Source organism: Homo sapiens, chromosome 10 (genome assembly GCF_000001405.40).
Source record: "Homo sapiens chromosome 10, GRCh38.p14 Primary Assembly".
In the NCBI taxonomy this organism is placed as follows: Eukaryota; Metazoa; Chordata; class Mammalia; order Primates; family Hominidae; genus Homo; species Homo sapiens.
In genome coordinates, this window is record NC_000010.11 from 118,323,152 (window position 1) to 118,349,853 (window position 26,702).

At 38.5% G+C, this 26,702-nt stretch overlaps 1 protein-coding gene across 5 annotated transcripts in view, besides 2 other annotated features; it reads right to left on the bottom strand.

Annotated features, from left to right (window-relative positions):
- The window catches only part of FAM204A (family with sequence similarity 204 member A), a 44,400-nt gene extending 25,227 nt beyond the window's left edge, over positions 1-19,173 (bottom strand). For 2 of the 5 annotated variants that reach the window (NM_001134672.2, XM_047425618.1), the window contains exons 1-6: positions 19,119-19,173; positions 13,031-13,272; positions 12,403-12,490; positions 12,245-12,275; positions 11,963-12,062; positions 3,003-3,092 (exon numbers count right to left, since the gene is read on the bottom strand). In NM_001134672.2, coding sequence (NP_001128144.1) covers positions 3,003-3,092; positions 11,963-12,062; positions 12,245-12,275; positions 12,403-12,490; positions 13,031-13,264 — 543 coding nt within the window. In that variant the 5' untranslated portion in view covers positions 13,265-13,272; positions 19,119-19,173. Of the gene's footprint in view, positions 1-3,002; positions 3,093-11,962; positions 12,063-12,244; positions 12,276-12,402; positions 12,491-13,030; positions 13,273-14,074; positions 14,258-18,575; positions 18,777-19,118 lie in introns of all 5 variants that reach the window. The other 3 variants (XM_005270024.2, XM_047425619.1, NM_022063.3) reach the window with 3 other exon arrangements.
- Positions 18,978-19,477: an enhancer, noted in NCBI's record as "H3K27ac hESC enhancer chr10:120101641-120102140 (GRCh37/hg19 assembly coordinates)". NCBI's record gives its function as "activates a minimal SCP1, AML or CMV promoter by ChIP-STARR-seq in naive H9 embryonic stem cells {active_cell/tissue: H9 hESC(naive)}" and the evidence as "EXISTENCE:reporter gene assay evidence [ECO:0000049][PMID:30033119]".
- Positions 19,114-19,333: an enhancer, noted in NCBI's record as "active region_4102". NCBI's record gives its function as "activates an Ori minimal core promoter by ATAC-STARR-seq in GM12878 lymphoblastoid cells {active_cell/tissue: GM12878}" and the evidence as "EXISTENCE:reporter gene assay evidence [ECO:0000049][PMID:35858748]".

Consider the following 26,702-nt stretch of genomic DNA (forward strand, 5'->3'; position numbering starts at 1 on the left):
GGACAAGCAACAGCAATAGGACACCAGCTTGTTGAGTCCTGTGATCCTAAAGAGACCAGCGAAGAGAAAAAATCCATACCATTTCTAAGAACAATAGGGCAGCCATACTCTATGTCCCTGCTGGTTTTTCTTATGTGCCTGTCTTACGCTTTACTCGGAACTATCTCACAGACTCCAGAGCAGCTAGCATCTAACAGCAACTGGTAACACATTTCCAGAATTGTTAAAGGGATTCAAGAGACACTTGTTCAACATACAGCAGGACATGGAATGCTTTATCATCACTAGTAATGCACTTAAGTATCAGTTATCTAGAAGGTTCTGTTTCTGATCCAAATGAGGTAGATATTCAGACCAGACTGCCACCACCTTCTGCATCCCTAAGGACTGGTTACTGCTGCCTTGTGTGCTTTTCAGTCCCTGAAAGCTCCCTTAAATCTTGAGCCACTCCTCACTATACTCCCCCATCCTTAGAGCCATGAAAGGTTATCTACGCACTGGAGTCTCTCCCAACCTCACAGGTACTGCCCCTCTCTACCATTTCCTGACATTTTCATGGTCAAGTCTCCAAAATTTGGAGATCAGATATTCTACTGGTATAATTTTGCTATACTTTCAAGTACAATTACTTGAAAGTATATACTATACTTGAAAGTAACTATACTTCCAAGCTGGATAAGAAATGAAGCTACTATTTCTAAAAGACTTTCTATGGAAATAAAAGTTCCAAGTGCCAAAAGAGTCTACTTACTAACAAACAAAAGATATTACGTTTGTTGAATAGAATTTTAAAGATGATTTTCGGCACAGAGCTCTTCATAGGGAGAAGAACTCCTAGTTTATTCATATAGAAGAAGCCACTGTAATAACAACTAACACTGAAATCCTACTGAGTTTATGGCACCATTCAACACACTTTCAAATTCACTTTATTAAAATGAGATACCTGTACCTTTCTATTCCAAAATAGATTAATAAAATGCTGTTATACACAATGAAAGCTATACTCAGTGAATCAAAATAAGGCTACCTTAGAGATGAAACAGAGTAATAGTCAAACTGCAAGCACAAGAACTTATAAGATGGGAAGGGGAGAACTGTATCTTACAAGAAAAAAAACAAACAGTAAAAATACTTTGTGATCTATCTAGCACTTTCACTTCCGGGTACATACCCAAAAGAACTGAAAGCAGGCATTCAAACAGATATTTGTACACCAATATTCATAGCAGCATTATTCGTAATGGTCAGAAGGTAGAAGTAACCCAAGTGTCCACTGAAAGATGACTACATAAGCAAAATGCAATACAAACCCAGAATGTAACAAGTACATACAATGGAGTATTATTCAGCCTTAAAAAGGAAAGGAATTCTGACACATGCTGCAGCAACATGGAGTAAATTTGAGGACACTATGTTAAGTGAAATATGCCAGATGCAAATGGACAAATATTAAATAATTCCCCTTATATGAGATACCCATAGCAGTCAAATTCATGGAGACAGAAGAGTGGCTGTCCAAGGCTGGGTGGAGGGGAGAATGGGTACAGAGGTTAATGGGTACAGAGTTTCAGTTCTGCAAGACAAAAAGTTTTGGAGGAGGGTAGTGATGGTTGGACAGCAATGTAAATGCACTTAATTCTACCGAACTGCACAGCTAAAAATGATTAAGACAGTAAATTTTATGTTATGTACATTTTACAATTTAAAAACCTTATATAAAATGTCAGCTTATTTTCTGAAAGGCCATATAACTGCCATTTATGTTATTTCTTGGCTATTTCCCTAAATGAAGTCCATGGCTTTATAATTTCCTTTATATTAGTCATTAATATATATTCTCTCTCACACACACACACAAACACATACACACACATTAAACACAGAAGTATTTAATGTGACAAATGATTTTAAAAGGTTTAAAGAAAAAAATATAATTTCTGAATCCCCTTTCTCAACTTGTTTTTTCCCTACGCCAAAATAAAAAATTCACAAGATACTTAAAGCCTGCAGCCAAAAAGAAAAAGACAAAACGAAAAACGCAAAAATCACAACAAACATCCATCCACAGTAGATATTTTTACATCAGATATAATGATGGAAGAGTGCAACAGTATTTCCATAGAAGAATTTGCTGAAATCACAGTTATCTCTGGTCTCAGTTTAGGATAAAAAGTCCACCTGCAAGTCAGAATAGTGAGTGTGGCCAGTAATTTACCCAGATAACCCATGATGCTCTCTACGTAACGAAACACTATGGAGTAGTTAAAGTCTGAGGTGAAGGAGGGAAGGATCAAGGCACTAAAAAAAAAGACTATGGTGGAGATTTTTTCCTAGAAAGGAAAAAAAGGAATTACAAAGCAACAACAATAATAACAAAACACATGCCAATATGAGCTCTTTAATCTATATTGACATTAATTCTCAACTGGGGGAATTTGCCCACACCCCACCTCCAGGAGTATAATTCAGAATCTTCTTGTGGCCTTCTGTACTTGGCAAAAGAATACCCAATATATCTATTAGTTTTATACTATAGAAAAAAAGAAAAAAGACCCAAAATTCTTTAGGGCTGAGGGGGATGTGCTGAGCAAACAGTAAGAAAGCATTTTACCAAGGGTTAAGAAAAGGTTCAGGGATGTGGCCTTAGAATACACAGTTGCCCTCAGAGTTCAAATGAGTTAAAGATGCAAACGGAAAAGAAAGCTAGCATTTTAATCATACCTGAAACAAACCTCTCTGATCCAGGTAAAATCTAAGGTTCAGTATCAATCATGGATTATTTCTAGCAAGTTTTAGACCAGAATGATTTAAAAACATTAAAGACAAAATAAAACCTAGCATTTCAAAATAAATGACAGAATAAAAGAGAAGAAAATGGACAAAAAGGAAAACCTCAGATGAAATATTTTAATACTGAACTTATTAATGATCATAAAAAGAATACAAATTTATTCTAGAAAATTTGAAAATACAGAAAATGTGTAACCCTTTTGACTCACCTCTCGAGTAGCTAGCTGGTTGCTGAGTTCCTCAGCCTTCTCAATATTCCACTCCTCCACAGCCTGGTCTATCCTCTTTTCAAGGCCTGACTAGAAAAAAAAGAAACCTAAAATTAAGGGCTGGAAGGAAAGCAAACATTTGCTAGCCAAGACCATGTCACAGAATTATACTGAATGTGTTACACAAGTAGACCATTAATTCTCACAATAACACCAGAAGGTAGCTGCTACCATTCCCATTAGTACCAGAAGGCTGAGACAGTAAATGGCTTACCTGAGGTCATGTAACTTCTTGAACTAATAAAAATAAGACGCAAATCCAGATTTTTGTGAATCAAAGCCTATGCTTTCCCTTAATAACAACAATAATGTTAATGATAACAATAGCTAAAAATTATGGAGTGTTTATTACGTGGCAGATTCTGGGCTTAATACTGTAAAAAAGCTCATTTAATTCTTATAACAACTCCATGAATAATAATGCTATCCTGTTTTAAAGATGAGGAAACAGAGCCCAAGACTCCTGAACTTGGCCAAAGCCAGCGTCTGTAAGTAGTAAAGCCATCACATGAATTCAGGTTTGCTCAGAGCCTGCATTCTCAACCACAAGTTTCTTCTGTCCCTTTTCTTACTGCCCATTCCTATAGCTCAGGACTTTCAGTCAATAGCCTCCACAGCCTTTGACTATGACCATTAGGCTGAATATTAAACAGCAGAGGAAAATTATACATAAGAATGATTTTATTTTCTTATGTATATGTTTTTATTTACTAAAGATACTTCAGGAAATCATAATTAATATTTTCATGGGATTACCAAACAGACTAGGGTACAATGCGTTACACATTTATAAAAAGATGCTTAGACTTAAATAACTGGAGTTCTAGTTTGTGAAAATAGTTGCTACAGATAATAAAAAATTTAAAAGATGGTCTAATATATGCTTCTTAGAAGCAAATTTTATCCCAACAATGGCTTATCTAGTCCTTTAACTTCCACATTCACAGTTAATACTCTACCTCTTACAGACTTCTCCTCCTTATTTCATAACAGAAGTCCTAAGAATGTCTCTTCCATCAGTCTATTGTTTGAACATGCCAATCAACTGAGAGAATTTTGTTCCTGTGTAGCCTTTGTTGAGATGAGATGTAAAAAATAACAACATAATTTGCCTAAAAAGGTTACAGAAATAAAGACCAGTGACGCTGTCACTGATGTCTGTTGCTAAGAGAAGACGATTCCTTCTCACAGACCCCACCTAAGTACTTAATACCTGCAAGGCCAACAGACTTTTCTGCTTGCTTTCCTGTGTAGCTGGAGACCATTCAACAGCGCTTCATAGTCTTTGACCTGAGGCCATACGGATCTAATGCTCACCACTCATTCTTGTCCTGTGATCATCTACCAGTCTCCAGAAACATCCCTTTCTTCCATTTCTGCAGAACTCTTCTCCTGATGGTCCAAACAACACCCTGGGACCTCTAACTTGATGCACTTCAGAAATCTATACTCTAGGCCAGTGCTGCTTCAGTCATGGCCTGTGTACCAGGTCTGGTCTGTACACAGTGCCAATCCATGAACTGTTTATTTTGGTCCACGTAAAGATAAGGAGCTTGTGCCAGAATACAAATCAGCTTCATGACTAAACACAGTTTTGTACTGGCCGGCATGTTGACACACACCTTTAGTCCCAGAGCTACTAGGGATGCTGAGACAAGAGGATTGTTTGAGCCCAGGAGTTTGAGGCTGAAGTGGGCTATAATCACACCACTGCGGTTTAACCTGGGTGACAGAGCAAGACCCTGTCTCTTAAAAACAACAACAAAACAGTTTTGTCCAGATGGCTTTTGCTGGGGGTAGTCGGGGACAAGAATTTCTCCATAAGGAAAGTAGTACACTGAGTTACATTCAGGCACACACTCCTTATCTCTTTGTATATCAATGCACTTGGAGTAAGACTGCTGTATGTCATGTTATAGACATTGCCTGAAAGTTCCGCCTCCACAACTTCATAATCTAGAATTCTACTCCCTGATACAATTCTTCCACTCACCCCAAGTCTTTCTACCTAATTCATCTGCTTTGCCTTTACTGGAACCTCATTCCCTGGCACGGTCCTTCAGTCCCTTCTTAGATACTCCTTCTCCCTCTCTAACTTGCAACCCACAATTACCATTATCAACTAAACTCTAAGCCAGTGGTTCTCAAAGTTTAAGTGCTGGACTAGCAGTATCAACATTACCTGGAAACTTGCTGGAAATGCAAATTCTGTGGAAAAACTCTAGGCTGGCGGCCCAGCAATCCATATGATTCTGATGCATGCTGAAATATATGTCAACTGTTTTTTTTTTTTTTTTGGTGACACGGTCTTACTCTGTCGCCAGGCTGGAGTGCAGTGGCGCAATCTCAGCTCACTGCAACCTCCACCTCCTGGGTTCAAGCGATTCCCCTGCCTCAGCCTCCCAAGTAGCTGGGACTACAGGCGTGTGCCACCATGCCCAGCTAATTTTTTGTATTTTAGTATAGACATGGTTTCACCATGCTGGCCAGGATGGTCTCAATCTCCTGACCTCGTGATCTGCCTGCCTCGGCCTCCCAAAGTGCTGGGATTACAGGCATGAGCCACCACACCTGGCCATGTCCTCATTCTTAAAACTACCCACTATCTCCTCTGGTTGTCCCTTAATCACAGTGTTCCTCAAGTTTCTGACTAGCATATTTTTCGTCTTACTTTTTACCCTCCCCAGTAATCTACTCTGTCCTGGAGCTTCAATTACTTTCTATGAGCTGGTTTAGCTCTCTAAATAATTAGAAACACCTGACTTCTCCCCTGTACCAATACCTACATCTCCAGCTACTTGCTAATCATCTTCACACTGAAGGCCTACAAAGGCAAGGTCTTCAATTTCATGATGTCTGTAACAAGCCCAACACTTGCTGCCCTGCTTCTCCTCCTCCTCAGTCACCCTTGATAGAATCCTCAGTTATCTTCAATGCTTCCAACCCCTTGCTCCTATCTGAACTCTATTTTGGCAAAAGTCTCTCATTTCTTCCTTCTGTGCTTCTTCAGGGACACGTGATCCCTTATTTGGAATATTATAACCATCTCCAAACTAGTCTTCTCTTTCTGAAACAGGCATCATGTCATTACCCAGCTTAAAGCATTACTTCATATTCCCTCTGAATAACATCCCACTCCCTTCACAATGGGGTCCCCAGATGCTTTCTCAACCCCATCTTCAGCAATTAAAAAGCTATGCTTTTTAATCTCTGGTCACATTTACCATTTTCCTAATGTTCCCTGTGCCTCTGATGTGCTTCTCTTTGAAAAATATTAATCATCCCTTTAGGCTCACGTCGAATGTTACCTTCTCTATCTACGCAGAGCTCCTCAGCCCTACATTCCTATGACCCCATCACCCTCCCCAAACCCCACACCAGGCTCTCCACTCTGTGCTGTTGCTGTACCTTGTGTCCCTTCAGCACCTAACTTGTCTGACACACTACAGTGAGTTGTGTATTCTCCCCTCTTGAGTCCTATACTCAGTGAGAGCAGGCTGTGTGTCACCGGCTTGGTGTGTCCCAGAATCCAGCCCAGTTCCTTCTACATAGAAGACATTTGTTCAGTCTGTGCTACTGAGCTGATATTCACACTGCCGTCATCCATGTTTGCATTCATAGTGAAAGGACCCCACTCAAACTGGGAACATTTATTACATACCAACTACTCTGAGAAGCTTCCAGAGAATTCACAACTGTAATATTGAAGTAATAATGCCCCTATGGTTAAAAAAAGGTACACGTATTGTACTCATTTATATATACATCTATCCTGGTACTAGAATATATACATTCCTCAAGGGCATGGAGAGTATCTTCTCCATCTTGGGCTCCCAGAGCTTAAAATAGTACCTGCACCTAGAACTTTATTTAATTTTTACTGAAAATAGTTATTTTCTTTAAAAAATGTAAATACAACAGCCTCATTTTCCTGTGCAGAATATTAACCATCGCCTCAAATGTCACTGACACATATTTGTATGTGTCAAAATCTATTTGTATAAAACATTAATATCAAACTACAAGTTTCCTTGCACTACAAATTCTTGCATAGCCTGATACCTCAACTCAGAACTTATCCAATCTCACGCAGGGAAGCAATCAAACTAGACCTGCTCCAACCATTCATCTCAACAACCTGCTCACTAACAGCTTCCATTCTTTTGCCTGTCCATTCCCCCAGCCATTAAGATCATAATCTAAAGGTAATAGCATATTACAGTGGAAAGAGCACAGGACTAGAAGACAGGAGATGTGGTCAAAGCTCTGGGTAAATGACATACTTGACTCATAAGCCTCTGTTTCCTCAAAGATAATAAGAAGACTGGCTTGAATGAGTAACCCTCCTAGAAATAAAAATTCTAGGTTTCTATCACATTTTCAGCTTTGTTTTTAGCCCTTTTCTCTTTCTGACAATTTATTTAAATAAAATGTACTACCTTCTTTTAGCTCTGAAAAACTCCTGGTTCCATGTACACCCAAACTTTGTTTCCATAAGAACTTATTAATATTCCAAATACACTCAAAACACTTAGTAAAACATTCCCATCTCCTTAAAGACTGTAAGTTCACAGCAGCTCACAAAGAGCACAGCTGGCAGGATCAGACCTAGGTTCAGACTAGCTCCTCCACTTATGAACTAAGCAACCCTGAGTGAGTTTCTAAACCTCTGTGGGTTGCAGTTATCTTACACATGCAATAAAATGAGAATAAAACCACATTCTCTGCAAGATTATGATGAGTCAAAGAACATATATATAGAATACCTAGCCACGTTTTTAGAATATAGTAGTCATTCAATAAATAATAAGGTGCTCCTATTATTAAACCTAAATATCAGGATACCATTATTGCAAAAGAGAAGGCTTATCTCTATAAGGCTACAGACTGCATTATACTTCTTCAAGCTCAGACCCAAGTACAAGACCCAAGCATTCCACTTTGTCAGTAAGCAATCTCATGAAATAGAGTCTGAGTATTAAGGCTTTTTGAAAAGTTTTAAGCTGGACTCAAGAGTAGCCTTTATTTGACTTATCTAGAATGTCTTCCATACTATAGGAGTGGCAGGAGGCACAGAGGAGCTACTGATAGCCTGCAGCACCTTGGTGTGCTTCTAAGTTGCCTTTTGGCTAGAATCAAAACATAATTTATGATATATCTCAACACAGACAAACCTAGGAATGGCAATTTGGCCACAGGTGAAAAATTTATCTAAACGAAGTATCTAACCCACGAGGCAACAATTGCCAATTAATTAAGTTTTAATATAGATGTCAAGAAGACAGGACTACAAATATCTAAGAAATGTATGGGTACTTGGTTTAACATTGTGGGCTAACATCTATATGTGCATATGTAGAATATCTTTTATATGTGGTTAAAGCTTTTAAAGTCAAACTATACCACAATATATTTATATGAAAATTCTGCTATTAAATATTTATTCTGTTAATATATTCAATTTTTAAAGCTTAACACAAATGAATTATCCATTGAAGTTTGCATTACTGAACCTAAATATCTAGGAAAAAATGAGGCAATCTCTTCATAAAGAAAGGCAGTGGAGGGGCGGAAGAGGTACTTTCATACATAAATGTAAATCATATATTTATTCATAATTTTGTTACCTTTATATATATATATATATATATAATCATACCCACTTAAAATCAATTGAGTCGGCTGGGTGTGATGGCTCATGCCTATAATTCCAGCACTTTGGGAGGCCAAGGCAGGCGGATCACAAGGTCAGGAGTTTGAGACCAGCCTGGCCAATATGGTGAATCCCCATCTCTACTAAAAATACAAAAATTAGCTGGGCATGATGGCGCACACCTCTAGTCCCAGCTACAGGAAGCTGAGGTAGAAGAATGGTTTGCACCTGGGAAGTGGAGGATGCAGTGAGCTGAGATTGCACCACTGCATTCCAGCCTGGGCAACAGAGCAAGACTCTGTTTCAGAAAAAAAAAAAAAAAATCATATGAGTCAGGTAAATAAAAACCAGGTTCAGAAAAAATCTAGATTTGGGACCAAATGACTTGGGTTTAAAGTCTCATTTCACTTCTCACCTGGTTTGTTTTCTTAGGCAAATTATGCTGAGCTTCAGTTTCTTTATCTGTATTCTGAGAATAACACTGGACCTATCAACCTACCCCACGGAAATCACACAGGAACCAAGAGGCAATGGTTTACAACTGATACCAGGGGATCTTCATGGTACCACTACAACACTCCCCATACCTCTCTCACCACACCCCTAAACCTCCCTCTCCTATACCTCCTCCCTCCACATCCCTATGCCCCTCCCTCCACATCCTAATGCCCCTCCCTCCACATCCCTATGCCCCTCCCTCCACCCACTCAAGGAAGCCAGCCTTTTAACTGATCTATGTATTGGAGAACCATGTAAGAGTCTGTTTGGAAAAAGCACTCTGCTAAAAACAAACAAACAAACAAACAAAAAAAACCAAGTTCGAAAAAGCTACACTATACAATAGCAGTTTCCTCTCATAAAAAACTTGAAAAATTCATCAAAGACATTGTACAATTACTCTAACATTTAATAAAGTACCTCTGGTTTTTCATGCCAAAAAGTATCCATTAGGTATACATAAAACTACTTCAATAATGACTGCTGACTAATCAAACTGATTCAACTAAAGAATACTTGAGACATTTATAGTGAAATTAATGAGTGAAATTTATTCTAAAGAAATTCCCACAGATTCAAAATAATTATGTTATGATTACAGAATTACTAGTAAGTCCCAGAACTGCTGCCAGAAACACAATTATAGCTGTATTTAATACAAAGAACACTTTAAAACAGCTTTGGATATTAGGAAGATTATGTTTAAAAAATACAAGCCTCTGCATTGTCTGAGAGGCAGGTGACAGCAGTGCTGTAAACAGACATTCTTGGTTGAGCAAGTTTCAGCTTGGCAGTGTTCCAAAAAAGAAAAAGGGGAGGAAAAAAAAGACTGCACGATAGACACATATTAAGAAGTTTGTTTTGTTTTACCATCCTAGAGGGTTGAGTGAATACAAAATAAAAAGGTTCTCTCAGATATGGTAACAGATTAGCCTCTGCTCCAGAGAAACAAAATAGTGGATGGAAATTCATGCTAGTTTTGTTCTAACTGCATCACAGATTTTCAAAATCATCTCTAGATTTCATGAGCAGTCGCTACTATGTGCTGGACTTACATTTATTTAGTTTTTATCTCAGCATCTCCAATGTGGACATTCTTTAAAGTTTATTTACTCTGTTGGATTTGCAGTAGAAACTTTAGGAGGACAGCCAAAGGAGTACCATTTAAACCAACGATCCCAAACCAAAGAATGAGTAGGAACCTGCTGGCATGCAATTATACTGAACTACCAAGAGAACAGGAAACATGCAAGAATCGGGCTTCACTAAGTCCTTCCTTTCCTCTTATGCTTGTGTTTATTTGTAGAATATTAAATGCAGGAAAAATCCTAGACAGATAGAAGCCTAGCCAGCTCAGGCTCCTTGTTTAGAAAACTGCCATAACTTCCTTAGCCAGATGTAATTTATATGGATGAATATAAATTACATGCAAAATTCTGTTTTGACAGTTCCTTAATGTATGCACCCTCAATAACACAGTACCATGCAATGATGGATTTAAAATCAGAGATACTTTAGAAGAAATACAGATGGATCAGAAAATGACAAAGGTCTCTAGGTACACACATAGTCTACAGCAATGATCCATGAAAGAGGCATCTGTCTATTACACACAGGATACAATATACTTGGGCTTCAACTAGCCCCCTGAGCCTCCAGCTCTACCACTCGGCACTTGATTTTCATGCTCCAACATTTCCCTGTATGAATAAGTGAGTTACTAATTCACACAAGCGTCTTCTAAGTATTAGTATGTCTAGAGACTGACAACTACAAATGTGCATCTCAAGGTCATTATACTAACCAACAACTCTGCTCCTGCTTTCCAATAACACTCAAGTCCCAAACTGAACTTTGGCTAGGTCCCACTCTCAATCCTTTCCCTTCCCCAAATTTCTCTTCGTAACATCACTATCCACACCACTGCTTAAGCCAAAGCTTTGAATGATTCTCTCCCCTTCCATACGCCCCAAACCCTCCCTATCACCTCGCAAGCAATCCAGAGGCAAGTATCATCAATTTTACTTCTACAATACGCCTCAAATCCATCCACTTTTTTCCTTCTTCAGCAGAACCATTCTGGTTCAATTCATCATCATCTTATGCCTAGAAGTCTCTTAACTGTTCTGTTCTCATCTATTTTTGCTGCCTCACAATCAGTTCACCAGGTAACAGTCATACGAATCTTTTTAACATAGGTCATGTCATTCCCTTGACTTAAAAGCCTTTATGACTCTCAACTGCATTGTGAATAAAACCCATTTCTTTACTAAGCCTTTTGAGGTCCTACACAATTTGGTCACTGACTGCCTGCCTCTGTAATCATATAGTGGGCTACCCTCCTCCTCGCTGACCCCATTCCAGCCAGGCTGGCCTTCCTACAGTTACTGGAATGTCCCAGGACGACTCTTCCCTAGGATCTTTATCCATGCCTCTGCGCTAGCATTCTTTATATAGACAGTTTTTTCCATCCTTCAGGTCTCAGTGACGTGGCACCTTCTATGAAAGGCTTTCCCTGACCATCCATGCTAAAGTGAAGCCCCCATTTTAATATTTTCACAACAACCTGTTCTTTCTCTTAACAGTTTTTTAATAATTTGTAACTATATATTTACTTATCTAGCACCCTTTTTGGTATGCAGTAGGCATCTTTTTAACTGAATGAATTAATGAGGACAAGTACTTTAGGCGAGGCTAATCACAAACATATCCTACTAGCTGGTATAAGATGCAATAACAAAGATATTACCTTCTCAACTTTTTTCCTTTTAACAGGCGGGTCAAATCTATCATTGACTCCAAAATACTGAGTAAGCTCTTTCCACTGGGTTTCATTTGAGGACGGTTCACTAAAAGAAGATAGTAAGTTTTGTTTTATACAATATATACTGTCTTTACTTTTACTGTTTTTAATCGGTTACTACAATTATACTACAATTACTAGTTCATATGTTTGATTACTATCAGAAACAATTAGTTCAACAATTTCTACAATGGCCTAAAATAGATAACTATTTTAAATTCTACCTACCTATGTAATTCTTTTTCATTCTTCAATTTATCTGAAAAGAATTCACAAAGTGTCAATACCTAACTTCAGTAATTTCAAAACCATATTTTAAAAAAATGGTTAAACTCAGTCACAACTTAGCATTAGCACGACGAACAACCTGAGTTAAAACAAAACACCTTTTCTGGAGCGTTTTCTTCTTTTCCCTCTGAATCTTGAGGTTGTGCTTTTCTGTTCAGAATGTTTTTTATGCAATTCTTGAAATTTCTATGTAAAAGAAAAAAAAATTGAGAAGCAAATATACTTTCCAGAAAAACATGCATTTAAAAAATAATGAAGTAATAAAACAATTATATTTCAGCGTGTATAAAGATACCAATTTAATGATGGTAGTCAGTTCTTGAGATGCTCTATTCTCTGAGACTCACAACCTGAGTTTTGATATTCACTTGTTTTGAAATAAGTCATTTGATAATTTGAGAGTGAAGCTCATGTAGGTAACAAAAAAGATAAATAAAAGGTTAAATAAAGACAGAAACTACTCATGTACCACGCTAGGCAAACAGCTAATACTACATAGTGGTTTGGGTTTTTTTTTTTTCCCCCTCCGTCTTTCTATGAAAAACAAAACAAAATAAACGCAAGTATCTAAGTGGCCGATGCCTCAGAGAACAGTAAAAGCATTCTGAGTCCATCTCCCTCCCTGTTAAGTCCCAAGAATACATGCACATTCTGACCAGGGCAGAGACACACAGAGGCATGTGCACACACACAGGCTGTAGCAAGAGCATTTCAGAGAAAACCTACATTCCACATATCTATGGGAATTCCAGAAGGACACTCTTCATAGGCATTTACATTTGACTCTGTTTCAGTTTTTGGTTCATCTGTTGAGAAATCTATGATTTCTGTTTTTCTGATGCTCTCATCCTCTTTATCTTCCTGTAAGTTAAGTCCAGAGTTCTCCAACGTAGCTTCATCTTCCGAGTTTGACTCAGCGTCACTTTCATTTAGGCCAGGAGGTAGCAGCCCACTCCACATCTTTTCTTCTATGAGGAAAAAGATTAATTTACACATGTAGAATAACCATAGAAATAATTTTAAGACCATTAGAAGACATTCCAGGTGCCTAATAATTATAACAATGGTTTGGGAACAGTCCATCTAAACTTTTTTTTTTTAATCTAAAATGGCATAGAATGAACCTGTTATAAAATAATTAAAATCTTCACTTGTGTAAGTAAAAAAAAAGTTTAGAAGTTTAAAAGCTGTTTAAACAAGTTTGTTACAACATACACCTACAGGTAAAGAAAATAGAGCCTTGATTCTCTAATATATGAGTAGTTTTGTCTAAAAAAAACATGAAATTCAGTAAAGCATTGCTCAAGAATGTTAAAAACCTAACAACATACTTTGCAAGCAATTTAGGATTAAAATACCATATTTGAAGCTATACCAATTAGAGAATAAAACTGCATGTTTCACCTATATTTAATGGACAAAGCTTTCAGAGGGCGTCTTGTCTAAGGAGCAGGAAAATAACTAAAGGAAAATTTTTAAGCTACATAAGTAGTTGGAGGAAGGTATCGTAGTAAAAAGGATATCCTACTTTTTAGTTTAATACTGTTTGCTAAAATAATATTAAATGAAATATAATCCTAACAATTTAACAAAAATGTACAGCTTTTTAAAGTAACAATACTATATTTGGGAAACTAATGGTCAAGTTCAAGATAATATTTAGCATTAGCTATACAGTCCATTAGTAGAGAGAACCATTAAGTTTAATAAAATGACTTAAAATAGCAGAATTGTTATCATTTGCTAAAAGTATAATACTCAAGTACATACTCACTATTGATCTTCATGGCACAGTCTATTTTAGCACATATATTGAGCCAAAACCAGTTCCTTCAAAAGATGCTTAAAATAGAGAAGCCGGTTGTACTGCTCATGATTTACTATCAATATGAAGGAATAAAATGGAAGGACGGAAATTTGTTTTGCAGTTTTCTGTCCCATATTGTGATTAACCTAGTTAAAAAACAAACAAACAAACAAAAGAAACCACCATTCTCTCTGAGACAAACACATCAGGGATTTTGTGATAACAGATTTCTCTTATCTTTTAAAGACCTCCTTCCAGGTCCAAAGAATCAGATCTTACTTTTTGTGGCTTTGGTCCAGCCTCATCAGTTGCTGGCTCTCTGAAATATCCTCACCAAATATTCTGTTGGCTTTTTATGAGGAAGGACTCTGGCATCTAACTGCTCCAACTAGAATCTTAACTCTGACACTACTAGTAGTATGAGGAAATCATTTGACATCTCTGACCCTCAATTTCTTTATCTGTAATGCAGGGATAATTATACTGCTTATAGGGCTATTCTGAGGATTAAATGAGATAAGCCCCTCAACACAGTGTTTAGGAGGTCCTAGGGGCTCAATAAATGTTAAGTTCTCTTTGCTATTATTATTTCTGTGGCCATGTATTACATTTTTATCATTTCTATTATGAGTGACAGGGTTCATAAGATAGTTTTGAAGTTTCTAATAATTGTGGTGCACTCACTTAGCAACTGATGCAATCATTTGCTTCCTTGATAGTCACAATCTGATGTGAAGTGTCTATAACAAATGTTAGTGTTTGGTTTTCTGAATGGAGGAATAAAATGAGGGCAAATTACTAGGAAGATAATGGTAACCTTAAGCTCCAAGATTCCTCATCTGCACAGGTCCTTCCAAAGCACTGTACCTAGTTTTCTATTCAGAATTTACATTTCTTTGTTTAAAGGAAGAAACCCGAAGTTATATAAGCTCCAGGCCCCATAAAACCCAGATCTATCCCTAAACCTGTCTGTGGATTTTTAAAGTTGGGACAGCAGTACTCTTGAAATACTCCAATAGCACAAAAGACATCATGTAAAATATGCCAATATTGAAAAACAGGTGTCATGCTATTAATAAAAAAGATTTCTCCTGTTCTGAGAGCAAGGGGAAGGAAGCAGTAATAAGTTCCAGTATGACTTGGCCACCGCCATATAATATACCTTTAGGCTCATTATCATTTAAGGACTTAAAACAGTAACAAATTTCAGGTTTGGATTTCTTAGCATCACTGGAGTCTATGTTAGAAATAACTCTTTCCCTTCCTGTCCATAAAATATTTTACATGCCCACTTATGTGCCAGACACTCTTCAAGACCCTGGGGACAGAAGTATATAAAACAGGCAAAAATCCCTAGCCTCACGAAATGACAGCTATACACATAGCAAGTTTCTGCTCAGTTTTTGAGCCAAGTATTCCTTGACCTGGACTTTAGATGTGACTGCTCATGAAACGTGTATGCCTCTCCAATGGGCAGTGGCACAGGTCTCCTACTAAACCACTGTTTTAGCATCTCTGCAGGGTGATAGTCTATGCTCTGGGCACCCAAACATGCTTCCCTCTGGGAAGCAGTCTCAGTTGCCCCGAAGAAGGCATGCTTTTTGCTGTTGTTGTTGCTAATCAGCCTTCAAGTAGTTAGGCATTTTTTATGGCTTTTTAAATTTTCTCAAAATTATATATTTTTAGCTCCTGCTCATGTGGCATTAAAAACTGTCCTCAGTGTGGCATCTGCCTGGTATGATAATTTCTTGAGTGTACCCAAAGGAAAAAAAATTAAAATAGTTTGAAAAAGGTGGAATCCACCTCTAAATCCAGGCAAAATTCAAATCAGGTAGGTTTTGAATTCCACTCTTTAGAACCTTTAGTCATGTGCCATTTTCCTGTGACTCTCAAAAAAACAAATACAAGGGAGACTGAGCAGTCACTGATAAACACGGATAACTGCTGCCACTTACTGTGCAGCCTGCAAAATGGAGTTGCCCGTGTAAGCAGCAGCCCAGTTACAGATCAGCCAATATGGAGTGGCTGCTTAGTGACTTTTGCTTTGGACTCATGTTTCAAAACAGTCTTTCTATTCATAGCATATACTTGTCATTCACAAAGTTTCCAACTGGCACCATGTTAGGCCTCCTGTTATTCTTGTTTTGGCTGCTGTGGAGAATGATTCTCTATAAGTGTCTCTTACTTATGCCTTTCAGAGCGTATTTCTTTATTTTAAGGCAGATAATCCCAAGTTACCCTTTAACTGTGAAAATTCACTCAGCCTGTCTCCAGAAACGTGGAATATCAGAGAAACAGAAACTTAAATTTGTTTAGCATAGATTATAGCCAAGTCCATATAACAGCCAATGTATTAATTCATAAGCTTTCATTTTTTTTACCCTGCAACCCAAATAATTTTCAATTTAATCATTTTAGCCCCAAGGAAAATGTAAATGACTCAGAATCCTTTTTCTCTCTATGGTTTTGAATATCACTTTCTTCATTTTACACACCCTCCACCTCTAGAGTTAAGATTTATTCCATCCCACAATTATCCTCAAGACATTCTGTGTGTACTATGCAGAACACATCTTTAGTCCTGGGCTAACACAATTTGCCATGAACTGAAAATATTTATATACTGTCCTAGTCTGAATAACTAGGGTTTCTTGTTTGTTTGTTTGTTTGCCCTTGAAAACCACCCATCGTTATTATTTAGCATACTTGGTCAGATAACAATGAATCAAAAACAGGGTACAGTTCAGTGGTTCCTAATCTAAGTATGAATATAGTAACAGGAGTCTCTAAGCTAATTTCAAAAAGCCCAAACTATTTTATTTTTCCCCTCAGTAAGACTGTACCATTCATCATTACAGGAAAAGACCAATTTAGTGAAGCACTATTTTTCACATGTTAATCAGAGGTTCACTGGTAGTTATAGGTCTGATTTTTATCAGAAAAAAACATTCATAAATAAGGTTGAGTAGACACAATCTTTCAAAATAAAGCAGCCAGGGAGAAATCAAATTATAATAAAAACCGTTCTAGATTGTGCACTGGTTACAGGGGGAAAAAGTCTTCAAAGTTGGAAAATGGTTTCTAGTCCTGAGCAACATAATTAGGAGAAAGCCACTGCATTTGTCTGGGCCTCCATTCTTAAGCTATAAAATAAAGGTTTGATCAAATGATCTCTGAGATGTCTTACAGCTCTAAAATGCCTCTTTATGATTTTGATATTATAAGTGCCCTAAATGCCCAGAGTCACCTCACTCCTGGATGTATCACTCCATTCTCTCTAGCACTGCAATCCTGATTAGAGCCCAGTATCCAGTAGATAAGGTTTCTCTCCTCTACCTAGCAACTCAGCCAAGAGGATGTTTTCAGAGAAACTCTGTACACTTCAGGACACTGAGAAGGGGAAGGAACCCTAGTTACAACAGGAAACACTAGAACCAGAAAGGGGAAACAAAGCAAGTCACTGCTGCACATGGCATACAAACAGTGTGGCAGGCCTTGGTTTTCCACTAATCTTCACAACAACCCTTCCACTAGGAATTACTATCTATATCAGCCCCTCCCCTACCCGCCCCGCCCCCAATTTACAGATGGGATAACTGACTTGCCTAATGCATTCTGATCCATTTGTTTTACAAAAATAGCCCCATGGCTTTAGATTATGAATTTTACAGAGCAGAGTTGTAAGCGGGGACAAGGATTTGCGACTGGGGCTGAGAATGATCTTAGCCTATAATTACAGACTTGTTAAATTTGGTTAAGAATTTTTTTCTGTACTTTTTGAGTACAGAAAGCTATGCAAGATGCTATACTAAGTTGCATACATCAAAGTCAAAGTCACAGTCAGAGGTTTGAGTAATAATGTCATATTTTCTGGACAACCAGACAGCTGCTTATAATCAAAACCCAAAAGATATATTTGAGCAGCTCGATGGGTAAATGTTTTCCATCTCTATTCCAGAATTTAAATTCCATTTTCATCGTATAAGGCTGTCTTATTTCCTATATTTTGTATTTGATTAGAAATAATTCCAGAAGCCTGAACTTCGTCTGATCTAAAATTAATTTCACTTGTATACTAATTATAAGCCACAATTATTTAACAATCTGAAGATTGTAATTTACATCATAATCAGAGTCTGTGACTTAAAAATAGTTACTATTTTCAAGCATGTTAACATCAACATTAACGTAAATATCCTATTTACTTTTATGAAATGAATGTGTTCCTTTTCTCAAAAAAGGTACAGAAAGGACAACTGAATTACAGGCCTGAGAGCGAATCCAGAAAAACTACTTATTTAGCAAGATTTTGCATGTATTCAACTGTTTTAATTAAAGAGAGTGTTCGTTTACTTGAGGCCTGGAAAACATTTTCCCAGACCCAAGATCCTGCATGGAAAGACAATAAACCAAGTTAACAGTTCAAGGCTCATTTTAAGTCGATTCCGCTGTGAGAATACTTACAGGGTCCAAGATTGCAAGAGGATGGGTCTAGAAAGGTACACCGTTCCTGCTTGGCTGCACAACCCGGAATTCTGCAGGCTTTCTGGCGGCAATGCCACACTCCAATCCCAAAAGAGAGAGAAGCCCCTCCCGGGCACAGAACTAAGCGCTGCACATTCCGGCGAAGGATGTCTAGCCTGCTGGCAGTCCCATTAACTGGAGCTGTTTTCCGGAATACAGCAACTGTAAACGTGAGCCTGTTTTCCCTATCGACAGCCTCCTCAATCCCCTCTCACTTTGACCTGGGTGGGACGGAGAACCCCCTCCACATAACAGGCTGGGGAGGCCGCTGCGACGCCCCTTTCGAGGAAGGCTGAGGGCGGCCCCGCCGTCGCTTCCGCGGCCCCGGGCCGGGGGCTTTTCTAGCCTGCTCCGGGAGGCTCGGCCGAGGAGCTATGAGGCCGCCCATGCCGCCTCCCTCGGCTGCCCACAAGAGGCCCTCCCAGACTCATCATGCCGGAGCCCGAACCGGCGGGTAACCAACCCTCCATAAGCCGTACTCACCTGTCAGGAAGTGGTCGCCCAGCAGCCATCTTAGGACCCCGTCAACATCGCGCCTTCTCATTGGCTCCTGCGTCTCAACCAATGGGCTGGGGCCGTTCTGGCCCTAGGGTCGCCTTAGCAACCGGCCTCCTGGGGCTTCCCTTTTTAGTCCGCCCGAAGGAGGTGGTTCCTTTCTTTCTTTTTTTTCTCTCTTTTATCTTGCCGTTTTCTCTTTCTTCTGAACATTTTTAAAGACTTTGTTCTTTCTTCATTCCCTGCTGTAGGCCAATGCGTCTGGGCAAGGAAAGGGCTGACATAGACCTTGAACTGAGAGTTGATGCCACCAGGAGGGAGAATCTTGCAGAGTGCTTTCTTTCTAGGCCCCTCTGCAAACGTCTTCATTCATTCATCCTTTCCCCTCACTCTCTTCCTTTTTTTTAATTTTTTTTCTTTCTTCACCTATTTATTGGGCGCCTACTTTGTACCAGGCATCGTGCTAATCTCTGGTTAGCAGAAAACATGCTGACTCTTGCTCTCTTGGCGCCTACCGTCTGGTGATGGGGTCCAAGGTGCTTCACTGACTGGACCAAAAGTTTACCGAACTTCTTTTTTTCTTATTTGTGGCAGGCACTGTGTTATGCCCAGAAGGGGGTGCTTGGGGAACATAGAAAATAAGGGGAAAAAAAAGAGAGAGAAAAGCACTGCGAAGAGGATAAAATACCCTATGGATAGGGATGGGAATAGGGCTATTTTAGAAATATTTGCATTTTCCGAAATACTGTTTTATAATAAGAATAACATTAAGTGTACCTATTTGCTAATTTTGTGATGATTATATAAGAAAAGCCTGGGCAACAGAACCAGACCCTATTTCAAAAAAAGAAAAGAAAAGAAAATACAGTAGGCTTCCCTCATCTGTGGCTTCTCTTAGCCTGATTTCAGTTACCTGGGGTCAACCAAGGTCCAAACACATTAAGTAAAAAATTCCAGAAATAAGCAATTCAAATGTTTCATTGCAAGCCCATTCTGGATATCCTGATGAAATCTGCAGTGTGAATCATCGCTTTGTCCATGCATGCTGTTAGGCTACCAGGTTCTTAGTCACTTAGTAGCCATCTTGGTTATCAGATTGAAAAACTATATGTGGGGTTCGCCATTATTCCAGGATTCAGGCATCTACCGGGGAGTCTTGGAAGGTATTCCCTGCGGATAAGGGAGGCTACTGTACACATAAAGACTTTAACATGTTACCTAGCCCACGCTAATTTTCAATCTCAGCTGTTTTTTGCTGTTAACATTACCAATAATGTCTTTCTTCAAAGCAAGCTAAATGTGTATAAAATTTTGCATTGCACTCAGTAATATATCTCAATTTCACATCAACAGATGGTTAAGCCTATTAACTATCCACTAAACCACCTCACCTCCAACATCTTCCAGAAGATGCGCCAAGTTTAGAGAGCAGTTTTCTATAACCCCAGAATCATAGTAAAACCTGAATCAGCAAGTTTGGATCGCCGAGGTCCCTCTTCCTGTTCACATTCTCTGATTCTAGAGTAGAAGCAAGGCTGAATGAGTTAAGGATCTGTGTAAAACTATTTTGGCCAAATCTGTTCAGCTTCTCAGTAGGATTTTCCTTGAATCCAAATCTTTAAAAAGTTAAACAGGTAACAAGAAGGTGTGCCTGAGAGTGCTGTTGTAACTGCATTAGGCTTCTTAATTGCTCTTCATCTGGGGATAGCAAAATACTACAGACAAGGTAGCTTAGGCAACAGGAATTTATTTCTCACAGTTCTAGATGCTGGGAAGTCCAAGATCAAGATGCCAGCAAAGTAGGTTTTTTTTTTTTTTTTTTTTGAGGCCTCTTCTCTTGCGTGGTAGGCAGCCACCCTTGCCCTGTCGTGCTCCCATCACCTTTTCTTTATATGCACAGTTTGGGGAGCTCTCCAGTGTCTCTTCTCTGTACTTAAAAGGACACTAATCCTGTTGGATCAGGGTTCTACCCTTCTGACCTTATTTAACCTTAATTACTGCCTTAGAGGCCACATCTCCAAACACAGCCACACTGTGGGTTATGGCTTTAAGATAGGAATTTTAGGGGTGCACAAACATTCAGCTCATAACAATTGCTGATGGTGGAAATGTTACCAGAATGGGGAAAGAGATAGCAGAGGGGGAAGAACTGAGGCATGGGGTAGGAAGGAATTAATGTTTGTATGTTTAAGAATGATCTGGGGCTGGGCATGGTGGATCACGCCTGTAATCCCAGCACTTTGGGAGGCCGAGGCAGGTGGATCACTTGAGGTCAAGAGTTCGAGACCAGCCTGACCAACATGCTGAAACCCGCTCCCCCCTACTAAAAATACAAAAATTAGCCGGGCATGGTGGCATGTGCCTGTAATCCCAGCTACTCGGGAGGCTGAGGCACGAGAATCACTTGAACCCGGGAGGCAGAGGTTGCAGTGAGCTGAGATTGCGCCACTGCACTCCAGCCTGGGTGACAGGAGTGAAATTCCATCTCAGAAAAAAAAAAAAATCTCGATTGTTTCTATATGGATCCCATCAAAGAATGCTCATTATTTAGTGCATATATTAATAAATGCAAGGGATAGAGGTGGCATATAATTATAACTACTACAAAGATTTACAAACACCAGATTTCATAGCAAAGGTTTTTGGAAAATCTTGCTTCAAAAATATCTAACATTTTAAAATTAAGTTTCTCAATACTGATTTGAGAATTCTTAATTACCTAATTGTTTATCACATTACTGGATGCCTATAATAAATGTAAATAATAGCTCAGACTTTTCTTCTCGCTCTGGTTGTAAGAACTTCAGTTTCTGAATATTATTGTTTTGTCAATTTTCTAGGGAAAATGTCAGTCCTTTGATTTATGTTAATCAATAAATTTACCTTTCTTCCAGCAAATTCCTGCCCTGGAAGCCTGCCAAGCCATGAGTTTTGTGAATGAAATACTTGTATTTGTGAGATTTCTATGAAATGTAGAATTGTTGGATACCTTTTACTAAATCATAGTGAAATATCTGATGCAGCTAGTGAATTGTGCTTGAATTGTGTTGCATCTGGCACTAATTTCAAGCATGTAGCTTTCATTTAAATTCTCAACCGTATCTTTAAAAACACAAAGCAGTTTTTCTTTGCCAAGAAATATTATAGTTTATGAACAGTTTTTCCTTACATTTAACAATTTTTTATTGTAGAGATTATAAGTCACACCTATGTTATGAAAGATTAATTGTGGAGTTCTTTTTGGTGGCTGCTAAATCCTGGATTGATGAATAATTTCTCAAAATATAATGAAACCCCTTAAATATTTTTAAGTTGGAAAAGTGAATACAACTTTGTTGAACATATAATAAATGTGCTTCTTGCTGAAACTGAGAAAGAGAATATTAATTTCTTTCTATACAAACACCTCTTTTTTGGCATTCAGAGGAAAAAGGGATTTAGTGACTTAAGCAAAAGAATTGAAACCAGGGAGCTCTGAATTTCAGGATTCATGTTGATATCCTTCATGATTAAGGAATGACAATTTATCTGTTGTTGTTGTTGTTGTTGTTGTTGTTGTCGTTGTTTGACGGAGTCTGGCTCTTTCGCCCAGGCTGGAGTGCAGTGGCGCGATCTTGGCTCACTGCAAGCTCCGCCTCCCAGGTTCATGCCATTCTCCTGCTTCAGCCTCCCAAGCACCTGGGATTACAGGAGCCCGCCACCACGCGTGGCTAATTTTTTTGTATTTTTTTTGTAGAGACAGAGTTTCACCGTGTTAGCCAGGATGGTCTCGATCTCCTAACCTTTCTATCCGCCCGCCTTGGCCTCCCAAAGTGCTGGGATTACAGGTGTGAGCCACCGTGCCTGGCCCTCTATCTGGATATTTTTAGGTTTGCAGACTGAAGCATCTATAAACAATGTTAGTCTTCCAAGAATATGTTGAATAACTAACACTACGATATCAACAGGACTTGACATTTGAGAAAACAAAATTTCTGTAATATAGAATGTTGCCAAAGAAAAGCACTTTTTATTTATTGGTCATGCCTAGTACTTCCAAATTTTTCAGTTCCAATAGGTTGTACATAGGGAGAAAGCAGAACAGGAGAGGGAGGCTTATTGAGCGTTTTTGTATGCTGGGAAATTTGTATCTAATATCTTATGTAATCTTATGAGGTAGCTGTTATTGTATCCATTTTATAGCTAAGAAAATTTAAAACTTCAAGAGCTTAAGAAACTTGCCTAATGTCACATGCTTAGTAACATGCAGAACCAGGGTGGGGAAGTTTCACTGGACTCAAAAGATCCTGCTGTCTCCACTATCCACATACTGCCTCTTTTAAGAAGAGGTTCCTGATGAGTGTCATCACAATGCAATCAATAAAGTATGGGTATCATTACTGCCCAGTGGCATGGTATACCCCCTGGGAACTCACAAAAAAGAGGCTTCGGGGACAAAATATCTTCTCTCTCTCCTTCCCCCTCAGGACCTAGTGAGTGATCAGATCCCATTCGAGGCATCCTCTTCAATTATTCCTTATTCGTTATATTAAAATCTATGTTAATTTCCTTTTTCTTAATACCTTCATCTTCCAAAAACATCCCGCTGTCTGATTAATGTCTCTGAATGAAGGAATACATGTAAAGCTTTAACATAGAGCCTGTCATGTAGTCAGTGGCTAACAAATATTAGCTTCCTTCCTTCCTTCACGTGTAAAAACTAAGAAACTCATAAATGTTGGTAGAGTATTAGATTCATCTGTCAATATCTTCATCGTTGTTACTATGTGCCCAATGCTCAGCACTATGCTAAGGGTTGAAGATTCAAAAGAACTGTATAGAAACTGGCCTCAAGAAGTTTGTAGTCTGAGACATAATAATATTTAAACCATAAGTACTAAAATTGTGAGGTTCATGATGTCAATATGAACTATGGAAGTCCTAAGAATGGAAAAGTAAGCCAAGTGGAATTTAGTATATACTATTTCCTTTGCCTGAAATAACTTTCTCTTTTATACCTGGTAAATATCTTTTCATCCTTCAAAACCAGATCCTTCAAAAAACCAATATAAACGTTGGCTTTTTATCTATATCTTGTTGTCTTTTTTTTTTTTTTTTTGAGATGGAGTCTCGCTGTGTCTCCCAGGCTGGAGTGCAATGGCGCGATCTCAGCTCACTGCAAGTTCCGCCTCCCAGGTTCACGCCATTCTCCTGCCTCAGCCTCCCGAATAGCTGGGACTACAGGCACCGCCACCACGCCCGGCTAATTTTTTGTATTTTTAGTAGAGATGGGGTTTCACCGTGTTAGCCAGGATGGTCTCGATCTCCTGACCTCGTGATCCACCCGCCTCGGCCTCCCAAAGTGCTGGGATTACAGGCATAAGCCACCGCGCCCAGCCCTTATTTTTTAATGGTCACTCTAGGGATTACAGTACTCATCCTTTCTACAGATTACTTAAAGTTAACATTTTAATAATTTGTGGGAAATGTAGAAACATTGGAACTGCATGGGTCCTTTCAAAGCTCTTGGCCCGCTCTTAATGTTGTCATACACACTGCATCTACACACATTGTAAATCTCACATTATTTTTATTTCCTTGAAACTATTATGTATTTTAAAGAAATACAGAGGAAAAAATAGAGTTTTACATTTACCCGCATATGTACTGTTTCCGAGGCTCTTCACTCCATCCTGTAAATCTGAATTTACATCTGCTTTCATTTACCTTCATTCTAAAGAATTTCTTTTAGCATGGCTTGTAGTGTAGATTTACCAGCAATGGATTTTCTTAGTTTTCTTTTATCTGAAAATATCTTTATTTTACCTTCAATCTTTTTTAAAGTGAGGTTTATTGAGGAATAATTTTATAGTTTACATACAATATAAATTCACACCTTATGTGTACACTATGATTTTTGATAAATGCATATAGTGATGTAAACACTACCATAATCAGTATACAGAATATATCCAAGTTGGCATCATGCCCATATATAGTCAACCACTTCTCCCTCCCCAGCCCCTATAAACTACTGAGATGTTCTCTGTCCTCCTAGTTTTGCCATGTCTGGAATGGAGTCATATAAATAAAATCAAGTAGTCTAGTCTTTCGAGTCTGACCTAGTTCAAGGAGCTTAATGCATATGAGGATCATGCATGTTGCTGCGTGTATTGGCAGATTGTTCCTTTTTATTGCTAAGTAGTATTCCATTGTGTAGCTATAGTTTGTCTATTCACCAGTTAAAGGATATTCGAATTGTTTTCAGTTTTTAGCAATTATTAATTATAAATAAAGATGCTAAAATGCTCACATAAAGGTTTTTGTGTAAAAAAAAGTTTTCATGGCCGGGTCCGGTGGCTTATGCCTGTAATCCCAGCACTTTGGGAGGCCAAGGTGGGCAGATCACGAGGTCAGGACATCGAGACCATCCTGGCTAACACAATGAAACCCCGTCTCTACTAAAAATACAAAAAATTAGCCGGGTGTGGTGGCGGGTGCCTGTGGTCCCAGCTACTCGGGAGGCTGAGGCAGGAGAATGGCTTGAACCCGGGAGGCAGAGCTTGCAGTGAGCCGAGATCGCACCACTGCACTCCAGCCTGGGTGACAAAGCGAGACTCCATCTCAAAAAAAAAAAAAAGTTTTCATTTCTCTTAGGTAAATACCTAGGCACGGGATTGCTGGATTATATAAGTTTTTATTTAACTACATAAGAAACTACCAAAGTGTTTTCAAAAGTGGCTGTACCATTACACATTTTCATCAGTAATGTATGAAAATTCCTGTTGCTCCCCATTCTTCGGTATGGACATAAAAAATAAGTGGGTTCAAATAAATGTGTAGTGGTATCTCACTGTGTATCAATTTTAATTTATCTAATAACTTATGATGTCTCTGTATTGTCTTTTGACTTAACAGTGTGTTTCAAAGAGCAAAAGTTTTCCATTTTGATAAAGTTTAACATCAATATTTTCTTTCATAGTTTATGCTTCATGTGTTATGTCTAGGAAATTCTAAGAAATCCTTGCCTTGTCCAAGGTCACAAACACTTTTTTTGCTTTTTATTATAACTTTTTTTTTTTTTTTTTTAGAGACAGGATCTTACTTTGTCACCCAGGCTGGAGTGCAGTGACATAACCACAGCTCAAGGCAACCACAGCCCACTGCAACCTCAAACTTGTGGGCTCAAACCATCCTCCCGCCTCAGCCTCCTGAGCCTCCATTAACCACGACTGGCTAAATGGTCACAAAGATTATTTTCGGTTTTATTATTTTTGTTTTATTCTACACATTTTTGTAATTTTAGATTACAGGTTTATGATCCATTTTGCATCAACTATATATACAATACAAAGTATGTGTCAAGGTTTATTTTTTGGTACCTGGATGTCCAGTTGTTCCAGCATGATTTATTGAAACTCCTTCTTCCAGTGAATTGCCTTTGCACCTGTGATAAAAAACAAATTGACTATATATATTCTAGACTCAATTCTGTTCCTTTGGTCTATGCATATATTCTTTCTCCAATATACACTGTCTTACAGTGGCTTTCTGATGTGTTTTGAAATCAAGTAATGTCAGTCTTCCAACCAC